The following is a 20232-nucleotide window of genomic DNA, read 5'->3' as shown; positions in this document are numbered from 1 at the left end:
AGCTTTCCTGTGCATGCAAATGCCCTGAAGGGTGTGTTAACAGGGTCTGCAGGCCTCATCCCCAGAGTTTCTGACTCAGTAGGTCTTGGACAGGATGGGGCCAGAGATTCTGCACCTCAAACAACTTTCCAGGTAATGCTGTGCTGCTGGTAGTCCAGAGACCTACTTGGGGAGTCTCCTCCCCATCTTCAGCTCAAGTTACCATCCTACAGTAACAAATGCAAAATGTGTGTCTACTCTGGCCCCTCCTTTGCTCTGTACATCTGTAGAACCAGCAGTGCATTTGATTCTCCATTGGAATGTTTTAAAGGCATCTCAAATTCAAAATGACAAAATGGAATTCACGATCATCTTCTCCAAGCCTGATTTCTTCTAATGGTCTTTATGTGTTGTAGCACAGAAACTTGATGTCATCTTTTATAGAAATCTCCCTCTGCCCACCCCCAGGTTCAAGTCATCGTGAACTTTCGTTGATTTGACTGCTTCGGGGTGTCTTGGACCTACCCATTGTTCTCCCTCACTACCCAAGACTTCCTTGTCTAAGCGCCGTGAGGCCTCCTTGATGGGCGGTGTGGTGTCTCCCAGCGCATCTCCCCTCTTCCTGCTGGCCCGTCTACCCATCTACTCCATTGTCCATGATATTTTTTCAATATTCGGATCCAATCGCCCCTCCCCCTGCTCAAACTCTTCAGCAGTTTTTCATGCCTGCCCAGACTCTGCCTATCCTAGGCCTCCTCTCCTATTCCTGTCTCAGTAAGACATGGCGATGGACACCAGCAAAGGTGTCCAGCCAGCCCCAGCATGGCCTTTGTCATCATTATATGTCTATGGTCAATGAGCTCAGATCCCAGCAGGGGATTGTAAAGGACATAGTCGGGGCCACACCACTCAAGAGCAGGAAAGCTGGGATCATGGCATGGCTCTCCTGCAGTGCCTGGTGCTCCCCACTGCACCACACTGCCTTCCTGCGCCTGTCACGTCCCAGCGTGTCAGACCCGGAACTGAATCTTCACGCAGGTCCCCATGACTGTGTTAGCGTGTGTCTTGGTTTGTGTTCTCTAGCTACAAGGATTTGGGTGCAAATGGTTTATTTGGGCGTGTAGAGAATATGCAGGGGGAGGCGGGATACACAGTGAGGTGGGTGAAGAAGTGAGACCGAGGCGAGAACTTGGCCAACAAAAGGTATGGTTATGAAGCCACCTCACTGTGGACCAGTGGGCACAGTCCTGGGGGGATGTTCTGGGAAGCAGCATGGGACATTATCCCCAGAATGAGCCCATCTGAGGAGCAGGGAGCTGGGGCCCTAATTCTCTGGCATTTACAACCTGCTGGGTGTGCACAGGGAGGTCCTCTGAGACTTTCATGAAATTCCTCCAGTGCTGAGGCAGGCACACCCATGGGATGCAGACTGCTGACCCTGCTGTGTTTCCTACAACCTGCTTCCAGCTCCTCGTGGCTCTTTGGCTCCCAATCCAGGTGAGCTTTCTTGTAAATGCTGGTCACTAGCCACAAGAGGGACTAGACAGAAGAGGACAGGTAGCTCCAGGTAAAGCCACTCTCACTGCCATAGAAAAACAAATCAGCAATGAAATACCACTTCTACTTCTTCCACAGATTAGTTAGGTAGACCTTCCTGTATACAACCTAGCTTCCTGCAATTTTTCTCTGTAAGCAAAATTCTTGCAAATCCAACCCTTTTAATAGCTCAGGGTTTTTTTGTTTGTGCGTGCATGCGTGCGTGTGTGTATGTGTATGTGTGTTTGACAGAGTTTCACTGTCACCCAGGCTGGAGTGCAGTGGTGCCATCTTGGCTCACTAGAACCTCCGCCTACTGGGTTCAAGTGATTCTCCTGCCTCAGCCTCCCAAGTAGCTGGGACTACAGGCACGTGCCACCACGCCTGGCTAATTTTTTGTATTTTTAGTAGAGATGGTGTTTCACCACCTCGGCCAGGCTGGTCTCTAACTCCTGACCTCAAATGATCCACCCGCCTTGGCCTCCCGAAGTGCTGGAATTACAGGTGTGAACCATCGCACCTGGCCGCCCAGAGGTTCTTAAAAGGACTCCCTTGTGACAACTTTTGAAAAGCAAATGTTCCAGCTTTTGAAAATGTTTTGGGGGGCATTTGGATTTCTCAGAGAGGGAGACAGGCAGGCTTAGCCAAAGTCCATTAACTTCAAAGAATGACAAGTGCAAAGTGGAAAGTGGGCGCTCAAGGCTCAGTGGAGCAGGCACTGAGAGGAGGCTAGGAAGGTGCAATGGGTGGTGTTCCACTTAATATGAAGCCTGTGTCTTCAGGTGGGATAAACGCCATCCAGGAAGCAGACAGCACTGTGACTCAACAGTTCACCACTTAATATGGAGCCTGTGTCTCCAGGTGGGATAAACGCCATCTAAGAAGCAGACAGCGCTGTGACTCAGCAGTTCACCACTTAATATGGAGCCTCTGTCTCCAGGTGGGATAAACGCCATCCAAGAAGCAGACAGCGCTGTGACTCAGCAGTTCACTTTCAGAGTCCTCTGACTCTGTTTTCTTTACCCTTCTCCTGCCTCTTCTTGGTCACCACATATTGACTGAGCGCCCACATACAGGACATTTTCTAAGGCTCTGTCCACTCTCCACTCCACCACTGCTCTCCAGTGGACTAGTTTCAAGTTCTTCTCTGCAGACCCCTACCCAGCCTGAGAACTGGCTTATCTAATAACAGTACTCAACATTTGTTCATAATGAGATAACCTGTAAAATGCTTTTTGTAGTAGGCCCTTGCCTCAGTAAACTCTTTGTGAATAGAACAGTGTCTCATCTACTAAAATATCCTTTCCCATTTTCCTTTCTCTTTGAATCCCAACAAATTCCCATGCTTTAATAAATCTCAGTGTCAGGAGGAAAGCAATTCTGGTAAGGAGCAGGCTATAGGATGCAGAGATGGGAAGGAAAGAAAACAGAAGAGAAAACAAAGAACTGGGGACTGGGTGTGGTGCCTCATGCTTGTAATCCCAGCACTTTGAGAGGCTGAGGTGGGCTGATTGCTTGAGCCCAGGAGTTCAAAACCAGCCTGGACAAAACGGCAAAACCCCATCTCTGCAAAAAATACAAAAAATTAGCCAGATGTGGTGGTATGTGCCTGTAGTCCCAGCTAGTTGGGAGGCTGAGGTGGGAGGATCCCCTAAGCCTGGGAGGTTGAGGCTGCAGTGAGCCAAGATTGTACCATTGTACTCCAGCCTAGGTAACAGAGTGAGACAAGAAAGACAGAAAGAAGAAAGAAAATTTTCACACTGCTATAAAGAACTGCCTAAGACTGGGTAATTTATAAAGAAAAGAGGTTTAATTAACTCACAGTTACACATGGCTGGGGAGGCCTCAGGAAACTTACAATCATGGTGAAAGGAGATGGGGAAGCAAGGCACATCTTACATGGTGGCAGGAGAGAGAGAGAACATGAAGGTGGAACTGCCACACTCTTTAAACCATCTGATCTCATGAGAATGCACTCACTATCACAAGAACAGCATGGGGGAAATCCACCTCCATGATCCAATCACCTCCCACCAGTCCCTCCCCGGACACATGGGGATTACAATTTGAGATGAGATTTGGGTGGGGACACAGAGCCAAATAATATCATTCTGTCCCTAGCCCCTCCCAAATGTCATGTCCTTTTCACATTGTGAAACCAGTCATGCCTTCCCACAGTCCCCCAAAGTCTTAACTCATTCCAGCATTAACTGAAAAGTCCAAGTCCAAAGTCTCATCTGAGACAAGGCAAGTCCCTTCTGCCCATAAGCCCGTAAAACTGAAAACAAAATAGTTACTTCCAAGATACAATGAGGGTACAGGCATTGGGTAAATGCTCCTGTTCCAAAGGGGAGAGCTTGGCTAAAACCAAGGGGCTACAATCCCCATGCAAGTCAGAAATCCAGCAGGCCAGTCATTAAATCTTAAAGCTCCAAAATAATGTCCTTTGAATTAATGTCTCAAATCCAGGTTGTGCTGATATGAGGGGTGGGCTCCCACAGCCTTGGGCAGCTCCACCCCTGTGGCTCTGCAGGTTCAGCCCCCATGGCTGCTTTCACGAGCTGGCATTGAGTGCCTGTGGCTTTTCCAGGTGCATGGTCCAAGCTGTCAGTGGATCTACCATTCTGGTTTCTGGAGGATGGTGGACCTCTTCTCACAGCTCCACTAGGCAGTGCCCCCGTGGGGACTCTGTGTTGGGGCTCCAACCCCACATTTCCCCTCTGCACTGCCCTACCAGAGGTTTTCTATGTGGGCTCTGCCCCTGCAGCAGACTTCTGCCTGGATATCCATGTGTTTCCCTACATCCTCTGAAATCTAGGTGGAAGTTCCCAATCCTCAACTCTTGTCTTCTGCACACCTGTAGGCCCAACACGATGTGCAAGCTGCCAATGCTTTGGACTTGCACCCTCTGAAGCAATGGTCTGAGCTGTACCTTGGCCCCTTTTAGCCGTGGCTGGAGCTGGAGCAGCTGGGACACAGGGTGCCATGTCCCAAGGCTACATAGAGCAGCAGGGGCCCTAAGCCCAGCCCATGAAACCATTCTTCCCTCCTAGGCCTCTGGGCTTGTGATGGGAGGGGCTGCCTTGATACTCTCTGAAATGCCCTGGAGATATTTTTCCCATTGTCTTGGTGATTAACATTTGGCTCCTGATTACTTATGCAAATTTCTGCAGGCATTTGAATTTCTCCCTAGAAAATGGGTTTTTCTTTACTACCACATGGTCAGGCTGCAAATTTCCCAAACTTTTATGCTCTGCTTCCCATTTAAACATAAGTTACAATTTCAAATCATCTCTTTGTGAATGCATATGACTGTATGCTTTCAGAAAAGTTTCTGAAATTTCTTCTGCCAGATACCCTCACTCTTCTCTCTCAAGTCAAAGTTCCACAGATCTCTAGGGCAGGTGCAAAATGCTGCCAGTCTCTTTGCTAAAGCATAGCAAGAGTGACCTTTGCTCCAGTTCCCAGTAAGTCCTCATCTCCATCTGAGACCATTTCAGCCCGGATTTTATTGTCCATATCACTATCAGCATTTTGGTCAAAACCATTCAACAAATCTATAGGAATTTCCAAACTTCCAACATCTTCCTGTCTTCTTCTGAGCCCCTCAAACTGTTCCAACCTTTGCCCATTACCCACTTCCCAAGTTGCTTTCACATTTTCAGGTTATCTTTATAGCAGTACCCCACTATCCTGATACCAATTTTCTCTATTAGTCCATTTTCAAACTGCTATAAAGAACTACCCAAGACTGGGTAATTTATAAAGAAAAGAGGTTTAATTGACTCACAGTTCTGCATGGCTGGGGAGGCCTCAGTAATCTTACAATAATGGCAGAAGGGGAAGGGAAGCAAGGTACGTCTTATATGGCAGTAGGAGACAGAGAGAGCATGCGAAGGGGGACATTTTTAAACTTTTAAACCATCAGATCTTGTGAGAATGCACTTACTATCACAAGAACAGCATGGGGGAAACTGACCCCATGATCCAATCACCTCCGACCAGGTCTCTCCCCTGACATGTGGGGATTACAATTTGAGATGATTTTGGGGTGAGGACACAGAGTAAAACTATGTCACCCCATGAGCAGGGTCTCATTTACAGATGAGAAAACTGAGGCTCAGAGAGGTTCACAGACTTGCCTAAGGTCCAACAGCTGGAAAGTGGGATTGAGCCAGCTGGATAACATTGGTTTTACGAAAGGGTAAACAACTAAGACTTAACACTACTAAGGGGCATTTGCATTTTAAAAACAAAACATATGGCTAGAGTTTCAGATAACAAAATGAAACTCTAACAGTGTAATTGGTTCAATGTGGCATGCAGAGTGTGATAAGTAGATGTCATATACTATTAATTATCCAAATAAATCAAGGAGAAAGGCAATTTATATTTAAATTTATATATATATATTAAAAAGAAACAGCCATAGAGGTAAAGGAACTGTATCAGCTGGTGTAGCTTTGGCTGCTGTCTTGTTAACTGAGGCAACGTGACAGCTGTGCCTCTCAGGTTTCCTGCTGCAGCGAGCATAATTGACCAAAGGCTCCAGGTGCTGCCCCTGACTTTAGGCCCAAAGTCTATACTTCCATGGACTGTTTCCAGCCAATGACTAAAAGCAGCAGGGATATTAAGGCAGGTTTATTCTTTGAGACCCAGCTAATTTTGGCTTAAGGACCACCCCCACCGCCCTCGGACTTGCCAAAACTCTTTGAGAATTGCATTGCAAAAACTTTTCCTATCAAATCTTCCTCCCTCCCTCCCTCCCTCCCTTCCTTCCTTCCCTCACTCCTCCACAAGGGTCAGACCTGCATGTTGGCTGAAGGATCTGCCAGCCTCCTCTGGTGCCTTCCTTCCTCCCTCACTCCCTCTCTCCCTGCTTCTTCCCTCCCTCCCTGCCTGTCCTCTCCTTCCCCTTCCTTCCTCCTTCCTCCCTCCTCACTCCATTCCTTCCCTCGCTCCTCCACAGGGTCAGACCTGCATGTTGGCTGAAGGGTCGGCCAGCCTCATCTGGTGCCCTCCTTCCTCCCTCCCTCCCTTCCCCCTCCTCCCCTTCCTTCCTTCCTCCCGCCCCCCCTCCCTCCCTTCCTTCTTTCCTTCCTTCCTTCCCTCGCTCCTCCACAGGGTCAGACCTGCATGTTGGCTGAAGGGTCTGCCAGCCTCCTCTGGTGCCCTCCACAATTTCTCCAATAAATCCCTTAGAAATCTAATTCCACCTTGGCATCTGCTGCTTGGAGGGCCTGGACTTAGACAGTCAAAAAGAGGAATTTATTAGAATATGGGGCAGTTCACAGAACCTTGAGGAAAACTTTCACTAGCAAGTGACAAGAAGAAGCTGGGCAATCCCAGGAAACCAGACAGCGAGAACTGATGGAGGCACCACCCCAGGAGAAGGCAGTCCCAGCCCTTTCCTGCCCCGAAGGACAGGTTTTGGCTGGCCTAGCTTAGGTCAAGACCCACCCTAGGCTGCGTTTGACAGACCCACTAAGGCTGTCTGCATCTGAGCAAAGTGTAGCTTTGCAAAAGGAAAAGTGGGAAGAGAATGAAAGGACGTGGGATGGATGAACACAGCAAATGTTCTCACAGGAAAAGCAAGTACCTGGTCCAGAATGTTCTTTGCTGAGTACAGAAGCGTCACGTAAAACCCTGATCCACGGAGTCTGTAGCAGATTCTGACTGCCCAGATTCCTTTCCCTCTCCCTCTTCCCTGAGTTCCCACTGCCTTCACTGCTGTTCTTCCTCCAAGAGCTTTCGCGAACACCAGAGCCCCTGTGCCTCTCCCTGCAGCTGGCTGGGAGTTCCAGGGCATTAACACAGACAGTCTTTGCCCATCAGCCAGTGACTGTATGGAGCTTGGATGTGAATACACAGCTCCTGCATCCCTCCGAGGCATCTCCACACCGTCTCCCAGAGGTACCGGCGGGATTGAGCTCCAGGTGCCCACAGTGGTAATTTGCTATATAACACACCTATTATTGGCCACCTACCTTTCCTTGTCTCTCTTCCTAATTCACCTCATTTGCCAGGGTTTTCTTCGTCACCCAATAAACTGCTTACACTAGGATCCTTGCTCAGGGTCTCTTCTGGGAGAACACAAACTAATTGTTATGATAAGAGATTGCACTGCCATAATTATAATCCATGCACACAAAAATGTGGGTAAATCTTACACTCCTGATAGGGAGCGAAAAAGCCAGACACTGACGAGAACACACCGCGTAGTTCTATCTGGGCAAAGGACAAAAGCTGGTCACAGGAATCCTTGCTGTTAGAATCAGGAGAGTAGCCACCTTCATGGGGGACGGTGTGAGAGACTGTCTGGGGATGTTCTCTTCCTGGATCCAGGTGCAGAGGTGAGTTTGAGAAACGTCATCAAGCTATACAATTATTATTTGTTCATATTTCTGTATGTACAGTAGACTTAAAATGTTTTTTAAAAAAATACAATGAGCAAAAAGAAAAAAAAGGAATGTGTCATTTGTTTGTCCTCCTATCCATCCACCGATCCCTGCGTCCACAGAATAATGAAATCCTAAGTTCCAAGCTTCCACCTGAAGCTTACAGTCTCCAGAGGAGGCACGCAAGCACATTCCATAGGAGTCGTATTTGAACATGGGGATCTTTTGTTTTGAGCAAAAAGTTCCCTGTGCATAATTTCAAGTGAGCGTTCTATAGAACAGCACTTGTCACTTGGGAAGACCGATATAAAAATAAATTCTAGGCCGGGCGCGGTGGTTCATTTCTGTAATCTCAGCACTTTGGGAGGCCAAGATGGAAGGATCACTTGAGGCCGGGAGTTCAAGACCTGGCCAACATGGCAAAACCTCGTCTCTACTAAAACTACAAAAATATGGCCAGGCGCCGTGGCTCATGCCTGTAATCCCAGCATTTTGGGAGGCTGAGGCGGTCGGATCACCTGAGATCAGGAGTTTGAGACCAGCCTGGCCAACATGGTGAAACCCTAGCTCTACTGAAAATACAAAAATTATTTGGCTATGGTGGTGTGTGCCTGTAATTCTAGCTACTTGGGAGGCTGAGGCAGGAGAATCGCTGGAACCCGGGAGGCGGAGGTTGCAGTGAGCCAAGATTGCACCGCTGCACTCCAGCCTGGGTGACAGAGTGAGACTCTGTCTCAAAAAATAAAATAAAAATACAAAAATTAGTGGGGCATAGTGGTGGGCGCCTGCAGTCCCAGCTACTTGGGAGTCTGAGATGGAAGAATCACCAGAGCCTGGGAGGTCGAGGCCACGATAGAGCATGCAGTGAGTGCTGCACTCCAGCCTAGGCAACAGAGTGAGACCCTGTCTCAAAAAATAATAAAACAAATTATAGGTTTGGTATAAAATACTTAGCCCCTTCAATTTCAAGAATAAATCTTGTTACCACCCTCAAAGCAAGATGGGAAGAGAGGCAGAAACCCCTCACGGTGTACTTGGGGATGAATTTGTCCCCTGAGACAGCTAATCACGCTGGAGGCAGGCCTGCACCCCGGCCTCCCTCGCAGCTCACAGTCTCAGCGGGGGACAGTGCCAGAGTTGGGTTCTTACCCACCAGAGAGGCTCCCAGGCCCCTCTCAGACCAGACTGAAGCAGAATTCTCCTCTCTGCCTTCTAGAATGTCTCGTAAAAGCTGCTCCTCTTGGGGAGGCTCTGGGCTTTGGAGAGAGCACCTGGAATTCCCCACTAGAAAAGCCCAAAAACTGAAAAATATTCATTACGTATTTTCAATACAGAGTTCCTGACGTTTTCCAGCAGAGGGCGCTAGAGAAGAGCCGGCCAAACCTGCAGAGCGTTGACCAAAGTCACAAGAGTAAACCAAACGCCTCGCCCTACCAGGCGTCTCCCCACCAGCTCGACCCCGCGGATTTCTCCCACAGAACACAGCCCCAGCCCTGGGCCTCCACGTGTGGCAGAGCAGGGAGCAGGCCCTGGGACACTTTCCTACTCAACAAATGTAAGCTGTCTATACATGATGGTCACTGTCTTGTGATAAGACTTTGAAGAATTGCTTGGTATTCAGAGCACTTCGGGGCGATCCACGGGGAGCCCCACAGTCTTGCATGGTCCACGCGTTCCTCTGCTCATTTCAGAGTGATCCTTCCTCTGTACCGCCTCTGCTCTTTTTCTCGTTCTTATTTTTTCTCCTTTGAGGGGAAGTAGAGGACTCCAGGTAGCAGTTAGTTGTACAGGACAACCCCAAATCCTACCCCTACAAGGCTTACTTTAGTAAAGCGAGTTGTTTTTGACACAGTAGAATTAGTACTACCTCAACCAGTAGTCTTTGAATTGATCCCTTAACTGATTAAGGGATGATTTTAGCAAACATTTACAAAAGGAAGGAATTTTTTTAAAAATAAAATGTTGTTTTCTAATTTTATTTTTTTCTAAGTCCTCTTTTTTCTCTCTGGAGGCCTGTAGAATCTTCTCTGTATTATTGGCGGCTGAACAGAGCAGAGCGCTGGGTGAATTCTAGAGTTAGATCTCCCTTCTGGAGCGAGGCACTCACACCCCCAGCTGCTGGGAGAGCCATTGCTCACAGCTCACAGCTGAGAGCTTCTCTGGGCATTGACTACCCTGGCCAAGGTTGTGGTGACTCTCTCGGGAGGCAGCTTGCAGCCAATGTCTGGACAATATGGAGGGAAAAGGGCCAGTCCTCTCACCTCAATTCAGGATGATGCCAAAGGGACATCCTAGCTCCAGAGCTCCCTGTGGGATCACTTGAGCCTTTATCTTGCCAGACAACATGCACATCCCTGCCCTAGGCTGTGTCCCCACCTCCCTCCTGGATTCCAGAGCAAGAACCAGGGTCAAGTCACAACATAAACGAGGGGCAGGAACATGAGGAGAGGAACGATTTGGTGATGGAGCTGTGACCCACGCTCCCATGTGCCATCACCCCCACACCAGCGCCCTTCCCTCAGATCGCACTCAGAGGCACATGGGAGAGTCCCTTGTGATCACCTGACAGAGGAGGGGAAAGGTTAAGCTTGGTGCAGGGGTGAGTGAGCTTGAAATGTGGGCACAAAATAAAAACTGGCTGCAGATGTACTCTGGCCGCCTCATTCAGGGTGGTCATGAGAGACGGCGGTAATGGGGAAGCTCTCGCAGTGGGCAGGGCTTCAGGCAGTGTAGAAAGAGAAGTATCCTGAAATCAGACTCCACATTGGCTCCTGGGCAGTCTTGTGTGATTTGATGGGCTCGTCAGGGCCTGGAAGGAGGAAGGTTGAGAACACGGAGGGGAAGAGACATGTGACTGTGTCTATGGAAGTTGGCACCCAGTGAAGATCCTGGCACAGATGTTAATATCCGCCAGAGAGCAAACAACCCAGAAAAGGCTTGACACAGCCAAGGAGAGAGAACGGCTCGGTCAGCTGCTGTCTGTTCTAGCCTCTGCCATCGGTTGTCCCAGTGCTGGCACAACGGGCTCACAAAGGGAAAGGCCATGGTGGCAGGGGTGGAGGCTCTGCATGTGCCAGACAGAAGAGCTCCAACTCGCCAAGGCTGAGCCACTGCCACAGCCAAAGGGCCAATTTGCGAGCCACAGAAACCAAAGTCAAACCCCTAATCTTTCAAAGTGACCGATGAAAGAGTTGGTGGCGAGTTGATGACACTGGATCCCTTCACTCTGGAAGGGGGAGCAATTCATCTTGCTTGGAGGCAACACACATTCTGCTTCCCTGCCTGTAGAGTGTTGGCCAGCACCACAATCCATCTTATAATATTTGATCCACCAACATGGAGCTCCGCTTACTCACCACCACCTCGGATCAAGCAACCCACTTCACAGCAGAGGAGGGATACTTGGTCATGGGTCTAGTAGTCCTCTCTGCAGCACTCACAAGCTGATGCCTGAGAAAGTGATGCCAGAGCCTTCTGAAGGCACAGCTGGGGCTCCAGCTTGGAGATGATGCCCTTCCGGTATAGGGTGGCATTCTCTGGGATGTAGTATATGCCCTGAATCAAAGACCATGGCATGGTGCCATGTCCCCTATTGATAGAGCCAAGGCATGGATATTAAGGCGTGGCCCTACTCACCATCACCTCCAGTGACCCAGGTGGGGAGTTTGGGCATTGTACTCTGCAGCTTTAGGTTCTGATGATACAGAGCTGCACTGGCCAACACAGTAGCCACTATCCCAATGTAGCTATTTAAATTTAAAGTAATTAAAATAAAGTTTAAAATTCACTTTACATATTTGTTGATTTATTTATTTATTGAGACAGGCTTTCACTCTGTCACTCAGGCTGTAGTGCAGTGGTATGATCACAGCTCACTGCAGCCTTAACCTCCAGGCTCAGGCAATCCTCCCACCTCAGCCATGCCTGGCTTATTTTCTTTTTATTTTTTGTAGAGACAGAATTTCACTATGTTGCCCAGGCTGGTCTCAAACTCCTGGGCTCAAGCAATCCCCCCACCTTGGCCTCCCAAAATGCTGAGATTACAGGCATGAGCCACCACGCCTGGCCTTAAAATTCACTCTCCGTGACACACTAGCCAGATTTCAAGGGCTCAGTGGCCACACATAGTTATTATCTACCATGTTGGACAAATCAGATATAGAACATTTCCATCATCATAGAAAGTTCTATCAGACAGCACTAGTCTATAAGATCCCAGTTCCTAGAGGGGTAACACTTCTTCCAGGAGAAACCGTGTGAGTCCTACTACATTTAAGCTATTGCTGCTGCCTTATCACTTTGGGTTCCTCTTGCCAAGCGACCAGCAGACAAGAAAAAGAGTCACCTTGCTGGCAGGCAAATTATCCACATTCCTCAGGAGGAGGCAGGGCTGCTGTTGCAGAACAATAGGTCAGGCCCCCACGTGATCGGCCAGAGCATCTCTTGGTTCCCAACACCCGCCCAATTTTGATGGAAATGAACAAATGCAGCAGCCACGCCTGTGAAAGACTGTGGCCAGGGCTTGCTCTCCTCAGGGATGAAGGTCTGGGTTACTCTCCCAGATAAGCCACCTAGGCCAGCAGAGGCACTAGAGGCAAGAGGTGAGGGTATAAAGATGGAGTAAAATAGAAGAGGAGATAATGAGAATCAGCTACAGCCTCGGGGCTGAATGCAGTCATGGGGATTACAATGTATGTCAATATCCTTTCTGTTCTATGTTTCTCCAATAAAAATGCCCAGCCACCATCCTGGACGAGCTGTTCCCACAGAGGATAAACGTCTATTCAAAGCAGCTGGATTCTAGTGGTGCCCAAGGGGTGGATGTGGTGGATGCTGTGATGCACCCCTTTCAGGTCCCAAGCCTCTTTCCCTGTTACCCAAACTACTTGTTGCTGATGGTGAACTCCTAATCCCTCTCCAGGAATTGCCCGGGGCTGGAGGGAGCTGCTTCGCCCAGGTTACACCCAGACCCTGAAGGCAGCGTCCAAGCACTTGTCGATAAAGGGAGACAAAGTCTAGCTCTCTGCAAGATGTAGATACTCAGCCCTGGGGCATTTTCTTCTATAAACACTTTTTTTTTTCCCAGAATTATTCCTTCAGTATTTTTTGGTCTCTCGTTCTGGGCTAATATCTTGAATTAAACTTCCATGGCTCATCTTTATGGTCTGCGGTTTCTGTGGTTTTGCCTGAGGAACTGGAAGACTTTTTCTGCTTTAGCTTCTAGTCCCTCTGTTGAATTTCATATTTCTCTAATCATTTTTTTTTAATTTCTAAGAACTCTTTCTTATTTGAGCGTTCCTTTTATTCACCAGATGCTGTCCATGTTGAATTGAGGTAATAGGTTTGTTTTCGAGTTCTTTTCTGTTCTCTAAATTACCTTTGTTTCTTCCAGAATTTGTTTTTTCTTAGTTTGTTTTGGCCCCTCTCATTCTTCGCACAGCTGATGTCTCCCTGGGTGCCACTGCATAATCTGACCAGCCTCTCTCCCGAGTGAAAGGCGTGACTGGCAACTGGGAATGCTAATTAGTAGATTTTGCTCGAGGACAATGTGATAAACAATTTCCATTTGTCCTTCCAGCCACTCTTCTCCCATTCCTGCCCCACCCCAGCCCATCTCTGTCCGCTGGCTCCAAATTATGTCCAGTGAATGAGGCTCCCTGGTGAGAGGGTGAGGGAGGGGACAGGCTGTGGACTGGATATTTCCTTTCCTACCTTCCTGTCTGTGCCCCACAATGGAAGGCCTCAGATCATTTTAAGATGACTTTCTCCCCATCTGGTTTTTGCTAAATGCTCCCTGCCCTTGTCTCTTCAAGCCAGGGGTTGTGACAGCCTCCGTGTTGCTGGCTTCAGGTTCCTACACAATCCCTTGCTCTTCCCAACCACACTCACTTTCCACATTAGGTCCTGTCTTACCCTGACTTCCCTAGAACGCAAAGCCTGAATGTGCTATTGTTAAAGGGAGTTCGATCTCAGAGCAGAGGAATAAGAGAATGGGAAGAGGAGGGAGAGCCATCCTAGGAGGTGTGAGGGACAGGCTGCTGCTAAGTGCAGGGGATAGCTCAATGCAACAGAACTGTGCTCTGAGCTGCGTTGTAAGTAGGACCGTCTGCGGTGGGGAGCGGGGAAGAGGCAAGAATTAATCCACCAGCTCTCGTTTCTTATTTGTCAAATATTAGCTCCACAAGGAATTAACTCCCCCATGTGGTGAGCCCTGGGCATGACTGCATGGTGTCCCAGAACTCAGTATGGATCCTCAGGACAGGACGGAAAAGTTGTGCTTCCGGGTAGGAGGGGAGGTGCTGACAGATTGCACCAGTGTAGTGCGGTAAACGTTCGACAACTGGCTCTCCTATTCCTATCTACCTTAAATAATGAAATTCAGAAAATATGATTAAGTATAGAGTTTATTTGATTGCAATGCTTGAGGATAGACACCCGAGGACACTGACAACAAATGGGGTCGGCATTCCAAAGTGCATAAGTTACAGTTTTACTTGTAGAAACAGACAAATTTTAGCAAGATCACAACATTTTACATATGAGACCACTGCATATGTTACAGCGATTTTTTTTCTTTTTTAAACAGGGTCTCACTCAGTTGCCCAGGATGGAGTGCCGTGGTGTGATCTTGGCTCACTGCAACCTCTGCCTTCCAGGCTCATGCCATCCTCCCACCTCACCCTCCCAAGTAGCTGGACTACAGGCCTGTGGCAGCACATCCAGCTAATTTTTTTTTTTTTTTTGTAGAGACGGGGTTTCACCATGTTCCCAGGCTGTTCTCAAACTCCTGGGCTCAAGTGATCCACCCACCTCAGCCTCCCAAAGTTCTGGGATTGCAGGTGCGAGCCACCACGCCTTGCCTTTACAGCAGTTTGATTGGTTACAGATTGCTACGTTCAGAGGAAGATTACTTTATTAACACATGAGTAGGGGCAATGATCTAAAGGGGCCTATCTCTGGTGCCATTTGGTCTTAATTATTTACAGAAAAAAAAGGCAAAATTTGCAGCTGTATACCCCGTGACTCGAGTCAGATGGCCACATTCTTCTCAAGGCTCAGAATAATTTAAAGCTCCAACAGCTTTAAGGTGAGTTACTTAATTTCACATTTCTATGGTATAAATATTCACCATAGCTGATTTCAAGCTACCAACATACTGACTCTGAAGATAACTTGAAAAGATGATTCAATAGATGTAAATAGCTCAAGAGCACGGCTGGGCATGGTGGCTCACGCCTGTAATCCCAGCACTTTGGGAGACTGAGACGGGCGGATCACCTGAGGTTAGGAGTTTGAGACCAGCCTGGCCAACATGGTGAAACCCCATCTCTACTAAAAATACAAAAATTAGCTGAGCATGGTGGCACATGCCTGTAATCCCAGCTACTCGGGAGGCTGAGGTAGGAGGATTGCTTGAACCCAGGAGGTGGAGGTTCTAGTGAGCCGAAATTGTGCCACTGCAGTCCAGCCTGGGTGACAGAGTGAGACTCTGTCTCAAAACAAAACAAAACATAAATAAATAAATAGCTCAAGAGCAAAAATAATAGTAAAATGTCATAAAATAGGGAGTGATGAGTTTCGAGTGTTTATCTTCCTTTTTAATGTAATTTATTTAATTATAAATTTATATCACTTATTTTTTAATAATGGTTGTGTTTAGCTCTTGCAAGCTCATAAGGCCTGGCTACACACCTTGCTGGACTGCACCAGCAAAAAAGGCAGTTGATCACTGCAGCAGTGGCCGGACCACAAGACAGGTGAGGCCCAAAGGATCGGAATTGGTGCATCAGAGGAGTCTGGTAGAGTACCTTGTAAATACACCCTCCTTACATTATTCTAACTTGAGTGTCAGGACCCTCATGATACAATTGAGTAGGTGTGGGACTTTTGCCACACCCTCTTGTAGGGGAGGGAAAAATGGCTTCCCTTCACCCTTCTGGGTCCTTTGGCCAGGCTATTAATTAAATTGACATAAGACAGATTAACAGGAGAAAAACCATATTTAATTACATACATACACCAGAATCCAACAAAAATATGAGGGTCGAGGAAGGGCCAGGTGATTGCAGCTTATCTGGCATCCTGAGCTACAGAAAGAAATGGTGGCTAAGGTCTTCTGGGGTGTAGTAAAAGCAAATTATGGGAGGGCAAGGGGAGGAAATGTATGGTGAATAAAGCTTGTCTTGTTATGCAGATGAAAATTCTCCTGGGTAATAAACGTTGACTCAGAGCAGTTCTCTTACTGACACAGGTAGTTTTACTAATATACATTTCCCTTATAGATGTGGATTTTCTTTACAAAAGGGCAAGTTTTCTCTCTCTTTTTTTTTTTTTTTTTTTTTGAGATGGAGTCTCGCTCTGTCACCCAGGCTGGAACGCAGTGGCACAATCTCAGCTCACTGCAAGCTCTGCCTCCCAGGTTCACGCCATTCTCCTGCCTCAGCCTCCCGAGTAGCTGGGACTACAGGCGCCTGCCACCACACCCGGCTAATTTTTTGTATTTTTAGTAAAGGTGGGGTTTCACCGTGTTAGCCAGGATGGTCTCGATCTCCTGACCTCATGATCCACCTGCCTCGGCCTCCCAAAGTGCTGGGATTACAGGCGTGAGCCACTCCGCCAGGCCACAAAAGGGCAACTTTTCAAACCGGCTCCTGTGTCTGCAGTTTCCCAAAATAACCAGCTCAAAATATGCTGTGTGGCATGTTTTGGTCTCCTATAGTCATATTTTGGGGTGGTGTGTCCTGAACCCCAACACTGAAGACACCAGAGTCAGGAAGGCTTTCTTTGAGAGGTACCAACCTCCACTCAAGAGAACATACCCTTCCCTGTACATTCAACTTCTTTAGAGGCTTCTCAGCTTCTGATGGGAATTCTGAACATGCAAATAAGACCCCTGGGAGCAGTTGTGCAAACACTCTGTCATTCCCACCGTTTTCAGCCCATTCCTCACTCCCTCCAATGCCTGCCAACTCCAAAACTGGAGCCAGTCTTGGAATTCACACAATATCTTAACATCATCCGAGCTGCTCTGTCCGCTCTGTTTTGCCAGCCAACACATTTCCCATACTGAAATTTTCCCAGAAATTTGTTGGGATCTCTCTTCTACTCATCCATAACCCTCAGGTCTCTTTATCTTTATGGGTTTACTTCTTTTTGCACTATTAAACTTTTGTTTCCATTAGATTTTCAAAAGGCAGAAATGATGACAAATTTCTTTACAGATTTAATTGGCTTTTATTTGCAATTCATGAATAGGGGTGGCCTCCATCCTACAAAACAGAATGAGAGTTCCCACTGAGCAATGGCAGAACAGTGGGTTTTGTAAGGTAGACTAGGGAGACAAAACCATAGGAAAAAATGCTGACTGGTTATTGTCAGGTTACTTCAGGTTATTTCGGATTACTTTTTTCTGTAAAGGTTAAAGCAAAGGGACCATTTTTATTACACTCACTCAGGTAGACTAGAATCTCCTGTTTTCAGTAAAAAACTGGTCTGGTCTGTTAGGGGATCTATCTCCTTCCTTAAAGTTCCAGTTTGACTCTGTGGCATTTTGTGTGAGTGACTTTGTTTTGATTTTGTGTGTTCTGCTGGGGCCTAGTGTAGGAAGTTCAGTCTAAAGTGATGGGCGCCCATAATTTTCGTTTAACAGGATGTTAGCAGCCACAGGAGATAAACATATATAGCAGGTCACTTGCTTTTTTTTTTTTTTAAGTCAGCAAAGGCTTATGTGTGATTAAGTAAAGCACAGGAATGAATTTCCATGAATGTGATGACTTATTTCTATTATTACTTATAAGGGAGTTAAAAGTAAGTGAAAAACTTAATGACAACCTTGAACTCCCAAATTACCACCTGTTTCTCAGCAGATTGCATTAAGAAAAACTTAAGTAAATGAAATCATCTCAGTACACTTAAAATCTTGAACACTGACTTGATTTCTGGCCTAAGGAAACTCTCTACAGTCATATTTTGGTGTGATATATACTGAGCCCCAATATGATGTTCATACTATCTACCTGTTAAACAGGCTGAGGTTGCTTATGAAAGTGACATGAGATTCATTTACATTGTTAGTACTTTTAAGTCTGTTGTATGAAAGGTATTAATTCAGGAGTGAGATTTAACAACTCATTTGTTCCCAAGGATTTATTGAGAATTTATTGTATACACAGCCCTGTGTAAACCAAAAATAAAATTAAGCCCTGCAACAAATTGAATGGACTTCCCCACCATTGGCCAAGGGCATTCCAAGGCAAACCCGAAAAACAAGTTCAGGCCATGATGGGAAGAGGGGTCAGACATGCCTCACTATACTCTCCTCCTGTTGGAATTTATGCGGAACTGACCAGCTTTAACATTAAAACAGACATCTTAAGACTGACCAAACAGACTCTTTGTAGCAATGCAATACACCACAAAATGACAGATAGCAGGCCCTGAAATAAATCAAAGCATTTTACCCTGAAATATATTTCTTTGACGTCTGGCAAAGCTGTCTCTTTGGGGGGAAATCTACATCCTGTAGAGAATCCCCCTTCCCTTTCCAGGTCTTTTCCTGATGCAGGAGAGACTAACTAGGAGTCTGGCACCTGGAAGTCTGATAAGAAATATTCACATGTCTCTCTCTGAGGCCTACTACTTAGAGACTTCATCTTCATAATAAAAGTCTTAGTCTCCACAATCCCGTATCTTAACCCAGACATTCCTTTCTGTTGATTCCAGGTCTTTAGATAATAACTTAACTCTTTCAACCAATTGCTAATCAGAAAACCTTTGAATCCACCTATAACCTGAAAGCTCCCCATCCTTCAAGTTGTCCTACCTTTCTGAACTGAGCCAATGTACACCTTACACATACTAATTGATGTCTGCTTGTAATTTCTGTCCCTCCTAAAGTGTATAAAATCAAGCAGTAACCCAGTAACCCAACCATCTTGGGCGTGTGTTCTCAGGACTTCCTGGGGCTGTGTCAGGGGCACATCCACCATTGTGGCAAAATAAACATTTAAATTGATTAAAACTTGTCTCAGATACTTTTTGTTTTATACCTGTATTAGGACATGACAAATTAAAAAGACAAAGAAAGACACTGAATTTCTGTCTATAAAACATATTTATTTTGAGTAAAATGAGGTTATGTTAATTGATTGGTACATATTACAGAGGATCATAATAAAATGGAAAATTGGTAAAAATTTAAAGAAAACATTATGAAGACATTACTAAAAGTTAATTGCCTCATGTTTTCACCCTATTTTTAAGATCTAACCTTATCTTTGCGTTAGAGGTGTTACTGAGCACAGGCTCTTGGGCTCTCAATATGTTAGAGATTGAGGTGAGGCCAGAAGACTTTTTCCAGACAAGGCCTCATTGGAGCTTATGCCTGGACATAAGGGAGACAATGAGAGAGAGAGAGATTGAGAGAGAGAGGGAGAATTCCCTGGCTGACTTTCTGACAAGAGCCTGTAGGGCTTTTTTATTAGGCAAAGCACAGGAGTTGACAGCCGGAGTAGGGTATGCAGGTAGGCATTATCTGGTTGCTGGGGTTATCCTGAGTAATGGACCCCCTGCTGGTCTGGCAGAAGGCAGCAAGTCTGTAAATCAGTTGTTTAGCATTCCTTCCCAAGCTGGGACACTCCGCAACCTTGGTGATCTCCCAAGGCCAGTTCCTGGAATTCTTTAAGTAAAAGGCATGGTTCAGAGATAATGACATCAGTGAGGTAGTGGTGTAGGTTTTGCAATCGTGGAGATGAGTGAAAGAATGCTCTAGCGGGAGTGAGTTGAAGCCAAGCCCCATTCCTACTCTGTCTCAGAGGGACTTTTAATTATCAAACTGAACTTTTTTAAATTTCAATTTTTTTAGAAAATAGAGCATTGAGGCTATATTGGTCAAGTTCTCCAGAGAAACAGAACCGATAGGAAAACTGATAAGAACCAAACAGAAGAAAAAGAAATTACTACAAGGAATTGGTTCACCACGTGCTTATGGAGGCTGAGAAGTCCCACAGAAGCTGGAGGACCAGGAAAGCCCATGGGATAATTTAGTCCACACCTGAGGACCAGGGGAGCCAATGGTATAAGTTCCGGTCTGAGAGCAGGAGAAGGGAGATGAGGTGTCCCAGCTCAAGCAGTTAGGCAGGAAAAAAGGGAGCAAATTCCTCCTTCCTCTGCCTTTTGTTCTGTCCAGGTCCTCAATGGATTGAACGATGCACACCTACATTGGGAAGGCCCGTCTGCTTGACTCAGCCCACCCATTCAAATGCTATTCTCTTCTGGAAACAGCCTCAAACACACCCAGAAACAGTGTTTATTTGGGCAT

At 46.7% G+C, this 20232-nt stretch overlaps 2 annotated features.

Moving 5' to 3' along the window:
• Positions 12714-13503: an enhancer, noted in NCBI's record as "H3K27ac-H3K4me1 hESC enhancer chr20:20801574-20802363 (GRCh37/hg19 assembly coordinates)". NCBI's record gives its function as "activates a minimal SCP1, AML or CMV promoter by ChIP-STARR-seq in naive and primed H9 embryonic stem cells {active_cell/tissue: H9 hESC(naive and primed)}" and the evidence as "EXISTENCE:reporter gene assay evidence [ECO:0000049][PMID:30033119]".
• Positions 19192-19768: an enhancer, noted in NCBI's record as "OCT4-NANOG hESC enhancer chr20:20795309-20795885 (GRCh37/hg19 assembly coordinates)". NCBI's record gives its function as "activates a minimal SCP1, AML or CMV promoter by ChIP-STARR-seq in naive H9 embryonic stem cells {active_cell/tissue: H9 hESC(naive)}" and the evidence as "EXISTENCE:reporter gene assay evidence [ECO:0000049][PMID:30033119]".

This window comes from Homo sapiens, chromosome 20, assembly GCF_000001405.40.
Source record: "Homo sapiens chromosome 20, GRCh38.p14 Primary Assembly".
Classification (NCBI taxonomy): Eukaryota; Metazoa; Chordata; class Mammalia; order Primates; family Hominidae; genus Homo; species Homo sapiens.
This window is presented reverse-complemented; position numbering and strand designations above follow the sequence as displayed.